Source organism: Homo sapiens, chromosome 20 (genome assembly GCF_000001405.40).
Source record: "Homo sapiens chromosome 20, GRCh38.p14 Primary Assembly".
NCBI lineage: Eukaryota > Metazoa > Chordata > Mammalia > Primates > Hominidae > Homo > Homo sapiens.
The window spans coordinates 9,355,416-9,368,804 of NC_000020.11; the positions used below are offsets into that span (position 1 = coordinate 9,355,416).

At 41.0% G+C, this 13,389-nt stretch overlaps 1 protein-coding gene across 17 annotated transcripts in view; it reads left to right on the forward strand.

Moving 5' to 3' along the window:
• PLCB4 (phospholipase C beta 4) overlaps positions 1-13,389 on the forward strand; it is a 412,131-nt gene that overhangs the window by 286,738 nt on the left and 112,004 nt on the right. For all 17 annotated transcript variants that reach the window (XM_024451898.2, NM_001377134.2, XM_005260724.3 and 14 more), the window contains 2 exons: positions 7,481-7,560; positions 10,046-10,099. In XM_024451898.2, coding sequence (XP_024307666.1) covers positions 7,481-7,560; positions 10,046-10,099 — 134 coding nt within the window. The remainder of the gene's footprint in view (positions 1-7,480; positions 7,561-10,045; positions 10,100-13,389) is intronic.

Genomic DNA, 13,389 nt, shown 5'->3' on the forward strand with positions numbered 1-13,389 from the left:
GTATATCTCCTAATGCTGTCCCTCCCCCATCCCCTGACCCCACAACAGTCCCCAGAGTGTGATGTCCCCCTTCCTGTGTCCATGTGTTCTCATTGTTCAATTCCCATCTATGAGTGAGAACATTCGGTGTTTGGTTTTTTTTGTCCTTGTGATAGTTTACTGAGAATGATGATTTCCAATTTCATCCATGTCCCTACAAAGGACATGAACTCATCATTTTTTATGGCTGCATAGTATTCCATGGTGTATATGTGCCACATTTTCTTAATCCAGTCTATCATTGTTGGACATTTGGGTTGGTTCCAAGTCTTTGCTATTGTGAATAGTGCCGCAATAAACATATGTGTGCATGTGTCTTTATAGCAGCATGATTTATAGTCCTTTGGGTATATACCCAGTAATGGGATGGCTGGGTCAAATGGTATTTCTAGTTCTAGATCCCTGAGGAATCACCACACTGACTTCCACAATGGTTGAACTAGTCCACAGTCCCACCAACAGTGCAAAAGTGTTCCCACCCCTCCACATCCTCTCCAGCACCTGTTGTTTCCTGACTGTTTAATGATTGCCATTCTAACTGGTGTGAGATGGTATCTCATTGTGGTTTTGATTTGCATTTCTCTGATGGCCAGTGATGATGAACATTTTTTCATGTGTCTTTTGGCTGCATAAATGTCTTCTTTTGAGAAGTGTTTGTTCATATCCTTTGCCCACTTTTTGATGGGGTTGTTTTTTTCTTGTAAATTTGTTTGAGTTCATTGTAGATTCTGGATATTAGCCCTTTGTCAGATGAGTAGGTTGCGAAAATTTTCTCCCATTTTGTAGGTTGCCTGTTCACTCTGATGGTAGTTTCTTTTGCTGTGCAGAAGCTCTTTAGTTTAATTAGATCCCATTTGTCAATTTTGCCATGTTTTTATAGACTCATAAGAGGAAACATGTTGGTGGTGATTTATCTACAGTCCCTATTTATTTTAGAATCTGAGGCACTGGCTATATTTCATGGCAAGCTAAAACTCAAATGCCTTCATGAAACTAAATTTCTAGCTTAAGATGAAGGTGTAGTTCCTGCACTGAATAGCCTTCATCTGTAGATTTGTGAAATGTTGCAGTTTTACATCTAAGCACCTTATAAGGAATTCTATCTTAGACAAGATTAGATCCTGTGGCAATCTTTATTTGAAAAGCTTCATAGTTTGCTCCAAGTGCATGGAAATGTGTCTTATTTCTCTTGAATGCCCTTTAGGTCTTAACAGAATTCACAGTGCCAAGGAGTCAAAAACTATATTTCAAATTATATACATTCCTGACATATTATTTGAGCAGATTAAAACTGATGGATAGAGCAATTTAGGCACCTTGAAAGTAGCTACTTGAAAAATGCCAACTTTTTCTTATCTCCATTCACTTAAACAAAAATGGGCCAGGTGCAGTGGCTCATGCCTGTAATCCCAGCACTTTAGGAGGCCGAAGCAGATACATAGCTTGAGCCCAGGAGTTTGAGACCAACCTGGGCAACATGGCCAGACCCCATCTCTGCAAAAAATACCAAAATTGGCTGGGTGTGGTGGCTCACACTTGTGGTCTCAGCTTCTGGGAGGCTGAGGTGGGAAAATCATCTGGACCCAGGGAGGTCAAGGCAGCAGTGAGCCTTGATTGTGGCCACTGCACTCCAGCCTGGGCAACAGAACAAAACCCTGTCTCAAAACAAATAGAAAAGTAAAACAAGAAAACAACAAAATTAATTGATCTAGATTTGTGAGTTGTCGATACCAAGAAGTTCCCATGTTTTAAATATTTCAGATGGCCCCGTCATTGATTATTCTCACAGCTCAGATATAGGGAAGATGAAAGCTGCTGCCTATAGCATCTTGCATCCTCTTGCTTCCACATACAAGAAATGTGAACTTCAATCCCCTAAAAAGGTCAGAGTTTCCATTCTAGTGAACACATTTGTTCAGCCCAGGTGGGGTGGGACATGACAAAAACCAAGAGTGGGTCTAGAACCATGGGGCTCTTCCCAGGGCTATCACTATGAGATAGAATATCCTGTGTGTAGTCACTCTCAGAAACAGCAGCTCCCTTAGGAAACTGCTGTGTCCTGAATGCTTGTGTCCCACCAAAATTAATAAACTGAAATCCTACCCTCTAAGGTGATGGCATTAGAGGATGGGGCCTTTGGGAGGTGATTAGGTCATGAGTGTGGAGCCCTCAGGAAGAGGATTAGTGTCCTTATTTTAAAAAGGTACCAGATAGCCCCCTTGCCCTTTCCACTGCATGAGGACATAGCTAGAAGGCACTACCTATGAACTAGAAAGCTGCCACTGAATCTGTTGGCGCCTTGATCTTGGATTCTCCAGCCCCCAGAACTGTGAGAAATAAATTTCTGTTGCTTATAAGCTACCCATATATTGTATTTTGTTGTGTGTCAAACAAAGACAAAAACCAAACTCACATCTTATATGGGCAGTGGAAGGAGAACTCCAAGTTGAGGGGGGCTGCTCTTTTAGACCTATGATTCTCAAATTCTAATGTGCACACCAGTCATCTGGGGATCATGCTAAAATGCAGATTCTGATTCCATGGTTCTGGGATGAGACCTGGGACTCTGCATTCCTAACAAGCTCCCAGATGATGTTGATGCTGTTGGTCTTGGGGCCCTTTGAGTAGTAAGGGTTTGCAACAGTGCTTCTTAAATGTGTGTGTGCAAAAGAATCACAGGGAAGGCTGATTAAAACGTGGATTCCTATTTCCCATCCTGAAGATTGATTCAGCCGGAGGCCTGATAATTTGCATTTTAACAAGTTCCCAGGTGATCCTGATGCTGCTGGTCCCCAGACTACATTTTAATAACAAGCCTCTAGTTAACTTTTGAACAACTTAATTAAGATACCTTCACTAGTAGCCTCTTCTGTGAAAACAGAGAGCCAAACATCAAAAGATGAAGGAGGATGCTACTGAGTCCCTTTGGAGAAAATTACATCACAAACTTGGAGAGTGCCACAGGGTCTCTGTTCATTTTTCCATTGACAATATGCTTCTTTGACTAAAGACGAAAAATAATTCTTCAGGATCAAAACCTAGAGATAAGATTGGAACCCTAAGATTGGAAGTAGTGCTGCCTGATGAATAATAGGACTAGTTATTTTAGGATGACGGGCCAGCCTGTGCCTAGTGAAAGCTTAGAAATGCCAATAGCAGACTGAGCACGGTGGCTCACGCCTGTAGTTCCAGCACTTTGGGAGGCCAAGGCGGACAGATCATCTGAGGTCAGGAGTTCAACACACCCTGGCCGACATGGTCAAACCCCCTCTCTACTAAGAGTACAAAAAAAAAATTAGCCGAGAGTGGTGGTGGGCACCCACAATCCCATCTACTCATGAGGCTGAGGAAGGAGAATCGCTTGAACCTGGGAGGTAGAGGTTGCAGTGAACCGAGATCCCACCACTGCACTCCAACCTGGGCGACAGAGCAAGACTCCATCTCAAAAAAACAACAAAAAAAGGAAATACCGAAAGCAAAATGTTATTGGTGGCCAATTCTTAATATACGTCATGAGATTTGGGGTGATGTTTACTTCTTACTGTGTATTTCTTTGCTTTACACTTTCCTATGAAGCATATTTAAATATTGTTTTCATAAACTGGGGGAAAAACCCTAACCAATATTTTTAAAAGAAAAAAGTAAAATATATGCTCAGTGTAAGTTCATAGTATTTTTGGTTTGTGTTTGTTGTATCTGTGTCTCTCTACGTTTGTATTTTCATGGGAAAGGGATTATTTTTGTCTATGTCAGTCCTAATGTTCCCGGGGCAAAGGTGATAGATGGGTAAGAGCAAGGTCTAAACATATGCCTGGAAGTTGGACAGGGCCTGGGGTGGTGAAAATAAATTTAAGGAGTCCCAGAGGAGAGGTCAAAAGCTCCAGGAGAGAATTAGAGGCAGCTTCTCTTTCTCTCCTTGCCCTCCAAACAATTCAGCACAAGCCCTCAAGTCCCTTGAAGAGTCTTTCTTTCCCCCTTCTTCTTAGAAGGGCTGAAACACACTTTAAGTTAACTTAGGAATGGTTAGAAAAGGTTAAAAAAATGGGAGAACAGTAGCAATTAACAAGCTGCTAGGGAAACAGGGAAACCGTGCTGATCCGAACATCAGAGCCGACCTCCTGTGGTCTGGTTCCCTAGCACCCAGGCTCAGGCTTCGGCTTGGGGTGGCCGGACCAGAAGGAAAGTGCCCCGTGTGGCAGAAGTCATCTCAGGAGCGTGTCGCCATCCAGCCAATGACTTGTGTTCCAAGGACTGGAAAATGCGCTTCCTGGACACTATGTAGATGATTACCACACGAGCTTATTTTCAGCAATTCAAGAAAGAATCCAATTCGTGGTTTATTGCTTCTGTTAGTCTGGAAATGGTCAAACAAGTTGATAGGCATCTAGTTCACGCCTGGCGTAACTTTCCAACAAAACTCCAGGGCTCTACTGACACCTGCTGGCATTTCATCTACTTTATGTTAAAAAAACCCCAACAAGACAAAGAATCATTAATATTTTTCCTGCAGTCCTTTGCCCTTGTTATGTTACTTGTACTTTACCTGAACGATAATAGAAGGGGCCTTTACCATGTCGTGAGGAGAGAAGTGTGGGCAAGCCATTGGGTGAAAATAAAAATCCCCAACACGAAGAATGTACCACAGAGCTCTTGTTGCCTGTCTGCCCTGCACCAGCTGCTCTGTGACCTTAGGCAAGGCCATTGACCTCACTTTCATCATTGCAAGAAGAAAGAGGCAGCAACCTTCCCTCCCAGTTCCCTTTAGGGCTTCTGAGGATGCTGGTGGCATTTCCTACTAACTAAAGCATGGGCCCTGTCACTGGAGTGATGGCCTTAAAGGTCACTCTCACTGACCTTTCCATCACAATAAACAAGATTCCTTGCCAGCGTTGTATGTTCAAAAGATGAATGAAAGTTATTTAAGCCTCTTCAAAGTGCACCATCTCTGTAATTTATTTCGACAAACAACTAAATTAGAATGATCAGAAAAAGCCCAGTGAACAGTCTCAGAAATTGTCCACTTTTTTTTTTTTTGTCTAGGAAACTATGGACTTTGTTTTGTGTTTTAGAACATGTAGTAAGCCTGCAGGTTGAGAAAATGCATCCCAGTTAATGCCAACCCAATTATTTGTGCTTTTTCTGTCTATTCTTGGGAAACTCTGTGTGGGCCTGTGGTTTGTTAGGTCAATAACAGGATATTTGATAGTCTGCAGGGAGTTATAGTCCATATTTAGCCTGACAGAGGAAGTGAGTTCTGCTGATGAAAAATAATTGAGGCATTTCTTTAATTCTACTATTTCATTTCTTCATCTTCCTTCAGAATCCTGACCCCACTATGATGCTTGCTGAGGCTTTCGATGCTATTTACAGCTCTGCTTTTGCTAGTCACAAAAGAAAATTTACCTCTTATAACCCCTAAGTCTTCCCTCAGAAAACTGTTAGGTGTGACCAGGATCAGCAAAAACTGTTAGATTCACATCCATTAGTTTGGCTACTACTTAAAAAAAGAAACAAACAAACAAAAAAACCCAGAAAATATCAAGTGTTGTTGAGGATGTAGACAAATTAGAACCCTGAGCAAAAGGGTTCCCTTGTTGCATTTGCAGTCCTTTGTTGGTGGGGGAAAAATGGTATGGCCACGATGAAAAACAGTATGGTATTTCCTTTAAAAATTAAAAAATAGAATTACTATATGATCCAGAAGTTCCACATCTGGTTATTTATCCATAAATAAGAATTGAAAGCAGTAACTTATTTGTGTATCAATATTCATAGCAGACATGCAATTCACAATGGACAGGGAGTCCATCAGAGGTGAATGGATGAGTGTATTATTCAGCCTTTAAAAGGGAAGAAATTCCGACACATGGTAGAGCATGGATGAACTTTGAGGACTTTATGCTAAGTGAAGAAAGCCAGTCACAAAATGACAAATTCTGTATGGTTCCATTTATATGAGGCACCTAGCATAGTCAGAATCACAGAGACAGAAAGGAGAATGGTATTAATATTTATCAATGGCTGGGAGGAGGGGGAGATGGGGAGTTATTTAATGGATATGGAGTTTCAGTTTTGCAAGATGAAAAGAGTTCTGGAGATGGCTGGTTATGTTGGTTGCATAACAACATGAATGTACTTACTGCCACTGAATTTTTCATTTAAAAATGGTGAAGGTGATAAATGTTATGTTATGTCCATTTTTAACACAATTAAAATTAAAAGAAAGGTTAAACAGCAAAAAACAAAACAAAACCATACTCTGTTAGAACGCAGTCATCACCTTTGCCCTTACAGAGATTAAATTGCTTGACTTTTTAAAACCTGGTTCTACTGGGCAGTGCTGTCCAACAGTCCCATCTGTGATGATGGAAATTATCTGCACTGTCTGAGCCATCAACCCCATGTTGATGTTTAAGCATGTAAAATGTGATTAGTGCAAATGAGACACTGAACTTTATATTTATTAAATTTAAATAGCCATATGTGTCTAGTGGATACCATACTAGACAGTGCATATAGAGTATACGTCTATATTACTATCTATTCCAAGATATTTTTCCTTCCTCAGCACTAAGCCGCAAATCTAAGCAGTCAGGCTGTAAACCTAAGAAGGTAAGGAATCAGCTTATGTGTGGGCCACCGTTCTATTTAACCCAAATGTCAATTTGCTACGAAGTGTTTTGCCGAGGGTATGATTCTTCTATGGCATTCATTGGCATCAGTTTTTGGACCCAAGGGCAGAGTTGGCCTTAATTCATGGGCTGAGCTTTTCTAGTAAATGCCCTTTTAGAGACCCAAATTCCTCTACTGCCATGCACAATTTCCCTTCACTTGTCCTTGTAAAACAGTGGAGTGATGGTATGAACTACAAGTGAGGTCCAAGTCCTTATACAGAAATTATGTGAGCACATCGCTGTTTGCTCTGATCACCCTGGCAATGAAAGAATGTTTTTCTTTTTAAGGCTTTGCTGGAAAACATAGGTAAGATAAGTAACAAACTCTTAGATTGAAAGGATCACACAATAAAATTGATGAACCCCTATTCATTTATCCTCTAAAGTGAAAATAGTTAAATATGTCATGTATTTTATAATGCTGGTTGGAAATAATTAAGATTGCCAGCAACTGAAAAAGGGCTTATATTTAAACAAGCTGCAAATAGAAAGCTTCACAAGTCAGTCAGTGGGCAACATTCCTTTGTGGCAGCCCAGAGTTTAATGGCACAATAGATGGCACATTTGTCTTCATGGAAAGAATGAAAGCTGTTTATTAAAGAATAAAATATGAGCCTGCAAAATATAGATGGCTGTGTGACAGGAAAGGGACAAAAGAAGAGTTTGTGTTTTTATTACACAAAATGGATACAATCTATCTAATAAAAACTGCTCTATTTGACTCCAGCAGATTTGCTCACCAAGAATATTTTTTCTTTCTCTTTCAGCAATGGGTAGAAGGCCTGAGATCAATCATACACAACTTCAGGGCCAACAACGTCAGTCCAATGACATGCCTCAAGAAACAGTGAGTGTTGTTTGCATTACTCGTTTTTCTTGGCAGTTATCAAACAAATGGTCAGATGAAGAGATGAAGGCTAGGTGGTTCCTTCCTCCAAATTCCTGCTTGCCTTTCCCTCCATGCTCCTGACCTTGGAGTTGACCAACACACACCTGTACTCTTCATACCACGTAGAAAGGCATGCATGATAAACCCATAGCCCAAAACCTATATGAAAAGAATAGTTGATGGTCAAAGGACACTGGAACCTCAGTCACTCTGTATGCTGTCAGTTGTGGGTACTGGCTTTTGTGTCCCCAGATTGAGTTTTCTGATAGACAGCTCTGCATGTCTGGAGCCATCGCTGAGTGCTGGGGTAATTCTATCCTCTGCTGCATAAAACTGAGAAATGAGGAGTGTGACCAAGAGACGCACTTGCCAATGCACCTGAAAAAGAAGCCTCAGCCCCAAGTGCAGTGCTCCTTGTTTAGCACACCGTCAGGGATCCAAAGTTACCTCTGAATTTTTTTCTGTAGGATTCAGTTATTTAAAGATTTGATCAAGGATCCAATGGTGATTTCCAAATTTATTTTTTCCATGAAAGAAGGAATTACTCCAGCTTACAGTATCTGAAATCCAGAGGAGTACTACAGTGGTAGATTTAAACCCTACCCAAGTTAACCTTTCAAGGTGACATGAAAATCACCCACAAAGGAATCCTAGCCAAAGTCAAATGTCAGCCAGTTTGAAAAGCAGTGATCCGTGAAGGTGGGGGCCATCTGCCTTCACAGGGCCATTGGCAGGCAGTTGTGAGGTGCCAAGGGGAACCATGTTGAGAAATTGCAGGGATAAGCCTGTATCTCTCAAAATTATGCCCCAGCACCAAGAGTGTGATTCATCATACTCACTTGGCAATGGGCCAAGAGGTTAGTCCTAAAGGTACTGTCATGTCTTATCTTCTGGTCATTGTGGCAGGTGCTTACAGGTGTGGTCTCTAGGCTATAAATCCCGGCTTCACCATGGCAAATTCTTACACTTGTGCCTCACTGTCCTCATCTGTGAATCAAAATTACCATGCAGATGAAATTGGAAAGTATTCTTTATTCAATACTACTTATCTTGTTATGGTATCCCTCCAATTTTCTTTCACCCTTTTAGTGGAGGAAAGTTATTTAGTCTTATCTATTTCTATGTGTTGTGCAGCTGCTTCTTCTTTTCCTCTGCAGTTGCCCTGGCATGTGTTTTTAAAGAGAAACCCAGTGGATATTCTGATGTTATGACTTCAGGCACTGATAGTCCTAAAGGGTCAAAAACTTTTAGAAGGCTTGCTTATACCTGAGTGACACAAATATCTCTATCTGACATGAGATCTAACAACATCCTGCCCAGATCCCTTTATGAAGCTGGTGTTCACCCAGCCATCATCTGCCATGAGAATGGGCTCACCAAGGGCTCAGACCTGTCCACTTCTTCAGAGCATTGCCCTCTGCTGAAGGGGAGCTTCCATTCCTGGAAGATTATACTCTTCCCTCCTCCAGGAGGAAGTCCACAGCCAATGATGAGCTGCAACAGGGTACAGAAGGCCATCCCTCTTGCCGCCAAGTCTGGCACAAATCACATGAGTTCAAGCTAAATCAAGCTCCATCTGAAACCACAACTTTGTTTAACTCTTTTTTCTGCTCAGTCTTCTCTCACTCTCTTCATCCCTAAAACATCCCGTTATTAAAGTAGTTAGTGGTGCTTCTACGAAACTTAAGACAGAAACTTTACTAAATCATCATGTTCTGCAAATTGTTAGCACATTATTGATTGGAAACAGGAAGAATGGGAGTCATTAGCTAAGAAAAGTCCTAGCTCCAAAGTACAGATAAATGTTCTGAGTCTCCTAAAAGCCTGGGGAAAGCAAGGAATTTTTCACCATCAATTTGAGTTGATGAACTAGTCTTACCACTGGAAATTAAGGAGGCGCCCATGTGATCAGTACTTGGCAGCACTAGGAGCTGGGAGTGATGAGTCCTCATGAATTCTCAAGACAAGGCTGGCTGCTGTCACCGTGCAGTTGCATTTCCCACCACCTTAATATATTATTACAGAGCAATAATCGAGCAGACCAATCACAAATAAGTACCAACAATGTGTTTTGCTCAATGGAGGCACCCAGTCATCTCATTTAGCTAGGGTTGCCAGATAAAATAGAGGACACTTAGTTAAATATGAATTTTAGATAAGAAACAAAAATATTTTAGTATAAGTATATCCTATGGAATGTTTGGAGCATACTTACAGTAAAAGAAAATTACCTGTTGTTTTTCTGAAATTCAAGTTTAACTGAGAGCTCTATATATTTATGTGCTAAATCTGACAACCCTAAATTCATCTTATAGCACATAATTGTCTGATTTTCAGAACCAATGTTCTTGATTTAAATGAACTTTCTTTTAAAGTTCTTAACAGAATTGAAGCTGCTCCCTCTAAGAAACATTAAGGCAATGTTATTGCTATTGTTTTGCAGCTGGATGAAATTGGCATTTATGACCAACACAAATGGTAAAATTCCAGTTAGGAGGTAAGTAATCATTCCTATCTGCTGTCCGTGTCCCGGGTCAACGCTTGTCATCCCAAACCAAAGAGAGAACCCTTCACAAGTATTTGTGTGTTAAATGCTTTAAAGATATTTCTGGAATCTTAGTTTCAATTGCTTTGACAAATGCTATATTCAGTTTGTAAAAATCATTTATGGAAGTAAAACTGCATTTTTTTGGTCAAAATAGGTGGCAAAAGAGGTACTTTGACAATTTAAAGAACATCAGAAAATGTAGAACTATTTTTTAAAATCGGCAAATAAGTGGTTTTTAGGATTTATGTTTCTTTTGCTTATTTGCCATGAGAAACTGTTAGCTAAACTTAAAGAAGATTTTATTGTGCACCTACTGTGGAAGGGTGTGGACCGTGTCTTGAGAAGTGTGATGCCTCTGAACAGAGCATTTTCATTCTGGGCTTTGCTGCTCCTCTGGTGCTCAGGGCAGATGGGGATACTTCTCTGGCTTCGTGCTGCCTACTCTCTACATGTACTGTAACTGACACCACACACTCTGTGGAGCTATCCTTTCCACCTTTGCCCTGATGCAGGTAACAATGACAAAGAATAAAAAGGCTTGAGGCAGGGCATGGTGGCTCATACCTGTAATCCCAGCACTTTGGGAGGCCGCAGCGGGTGGATCACAGGTCAGGAGATCAACACCATCCCTGCTAACACAGTGAAACTCCGTCTCTACTAAAAATACAAAAAGAAAAAAAAAATTAGCCGGGTGTGGTGGCAGGCACCTGTAGTCCCAGCTACTGGGAGGCTGAGGCAGGAGAATGGCATGGAACCTGGAGGCAGAGCTTGCAGTGAGTCGAGATGGCACCACTGCACTCCAGCCTGGGTGACAGAGTGAGACTCCATCTCAAAAAAAAAAAAAAAAAAAAAAGACTTGAGTGGAATCAAGAATAAAGAAAACATGGACAGGATACATCCTCCACATGTGTTCTTTAATACTTAAGTGGACAGATTTCACCCTCTGAGGATTCCCCATGCATCCCTCTTTTCTGCTTCTCACTTCCTTCCAGGGGTTAGGGTTTACACATGGTCTCTGGGTACAGTTGGAAACTCTTTCCACAGTAGTGATGGGAATTCTTTACCAAACTCTTCAGTACCTTTTTGGTTGGTGTTTGTTTTAAGCATTCATGGAAATTCCAGAAGCTGGGCTGGGCCCCAGGGCATCTGCTTTTCACATGAAGACAGGCATGTATCTGGATTCGTGAACCTAAGCCCACAACCAGAATCAAACATGGGTTCCCCAGATGCCAACTCTCTCTTCCAGGGTTCTCCAGACTCAGGTTCATGTTCACTTCTCTGGACACCACTTTAGCAAATACGCAAATCAACAAATAATAACAAACAAAACCCAGAACTACTGGGTGGAATCCTGTCTTAGAATTGATCTGTCTTTCAGAAATAACCAGGTCACCGAGTGCGTAGCATCTGTGTGGATGCATTGAGCAGTGGCATGTGCTGTGGCTCCTGGCATTTCTGACTCTCCTTTGCCTCCTTCCCTGCCCAGCTGCTTCATTCTGCTCTGCAGCTTCCATTCTGCATCCCTGTGAGACTATCTCCATACTCCCTTGACATTACTCTTTTCATATTTAACAGAATTGTCCCAGAAGACCTCATTTTTCTCAATCTTGTATATTAAACAATCACGACCTAAAGTATCCATGTGACCACTTAAATATCGAGAAAATGTAAAGCACAGAAGTCATGAAGACCTTAGACAATTTTTTTTAAATTTAACTCTTTATTGAGGGCTTGTTGAGTCATGGACCTCATGCATTTGTTGTGGTCTTTCCAAATCTATCTGTAGGATTCTCTGCTTTTATTTAATAACTTGCTAGCAAGTCAACTTTTAGTCTGCTTTAGAAGATTGAAAAAAGCCCTGTTAGCAGCCTTGACTGATGGTTGTTGGCAGATACTTTATGCTTATCCTTATTTAAAATCCTTTGCTCAGTTGAGTAATAGCAGAACAATTATTTTAATGTATCCCAGTACCCTACAGCTATTGCATTTTTATTTAAAATCAGAGAGCACAAAGCAGTGTGAAGAATAGAAATGTAGGTTGGATGTGTTTTTACATGCCTTACTATCCTGCTTTTTCTTCCAAGATGAGGTTCAGGAAATGGGCAAAGTAGAGACACATAGATTGTGATCAAAGCACTTCTAACCAGCAGTCTTGGTTTCATTTGTATGTATCCTATGAATCAAGTCATTGTCATACAAGCTTTGAAGTCGTTTCTGATTCCAGTGATTTTTATCTAACATGTTCACATACAAAATTATTACCACCTTTTTGTAGAAATAGCTTAGATATTTTGGCATCTTCTTTAGCTCTCTTTGACATGGACTCCATGGTGCTTGCCAGTATTAACAGGTGTTTGACACAAGACGGCTGTGATTTGGGGGCAGTTTGTTAGAGTTGATGGAGAATTGATACCATGCCAGAAAAAAAATCAGATAACTCTATTGGTGAATGAGCTGCCAAGAGTTAGTTGGAAATTGTTGTGTATGTTTTAATGGATATGAAGAGTAAACACTTTTAAAATGTTATTCACTATCATTCTGAAGTTTCTAAAATGGAAACTATTAGTGTACTGTCCATAATATTAAAAGAGATCTGGCTTCATAGTGATTACATAGCTTGGGAATGGTTCCTGCTCTTTAGCATTAAACCAAAATTTAATATCCAGGAAGTTGCAGGAATAACACATGAAGAAAGTCTTACCTTTTGTCTCCCTCTTCTCTTGTCTTGCTGTTTACATAACCCATGCAGTCTGCCTTTCTCTCAAATTCACAAATTTACACTCAGTTTATCCTCCCACTCAGACCAAAGTTTTGGAAATAGCAATTCTCTTTTGCCACCTTCCCTCCTCTCTCGTAACCTGGAGTGAACACCAATGACTAGAAAATTGGGAAGTGAGTAGCCAGACAGTAGTTGTGGGCAGGGGCTGGAAGAGATCCCAAACAAAACGGCTGTGTTAAAGAAGGCTGAGAGCCGCAGGTGCCGTCTTGGAAGCATCCCTATATAATCAGCCCAACCATGTCCTGAAGGCCCAGCAGCCCACGAAGAAGGTATGATTCTGCTGGGGCAGTTGCCCCATCCTTCACTCAAGAGTTCTCTGTAACTTTCAGAACACGGTGTTAAAACCATCGTGTAGATTGCAGACCCTGTTTCAGCTAGCAAAGAGTGGGACTCCCTTAGTTTCTAGGATCGTTGCTGTTTTAGCCACTTGCGAAGTCCCCCGGAATAGAATTTAACCAGG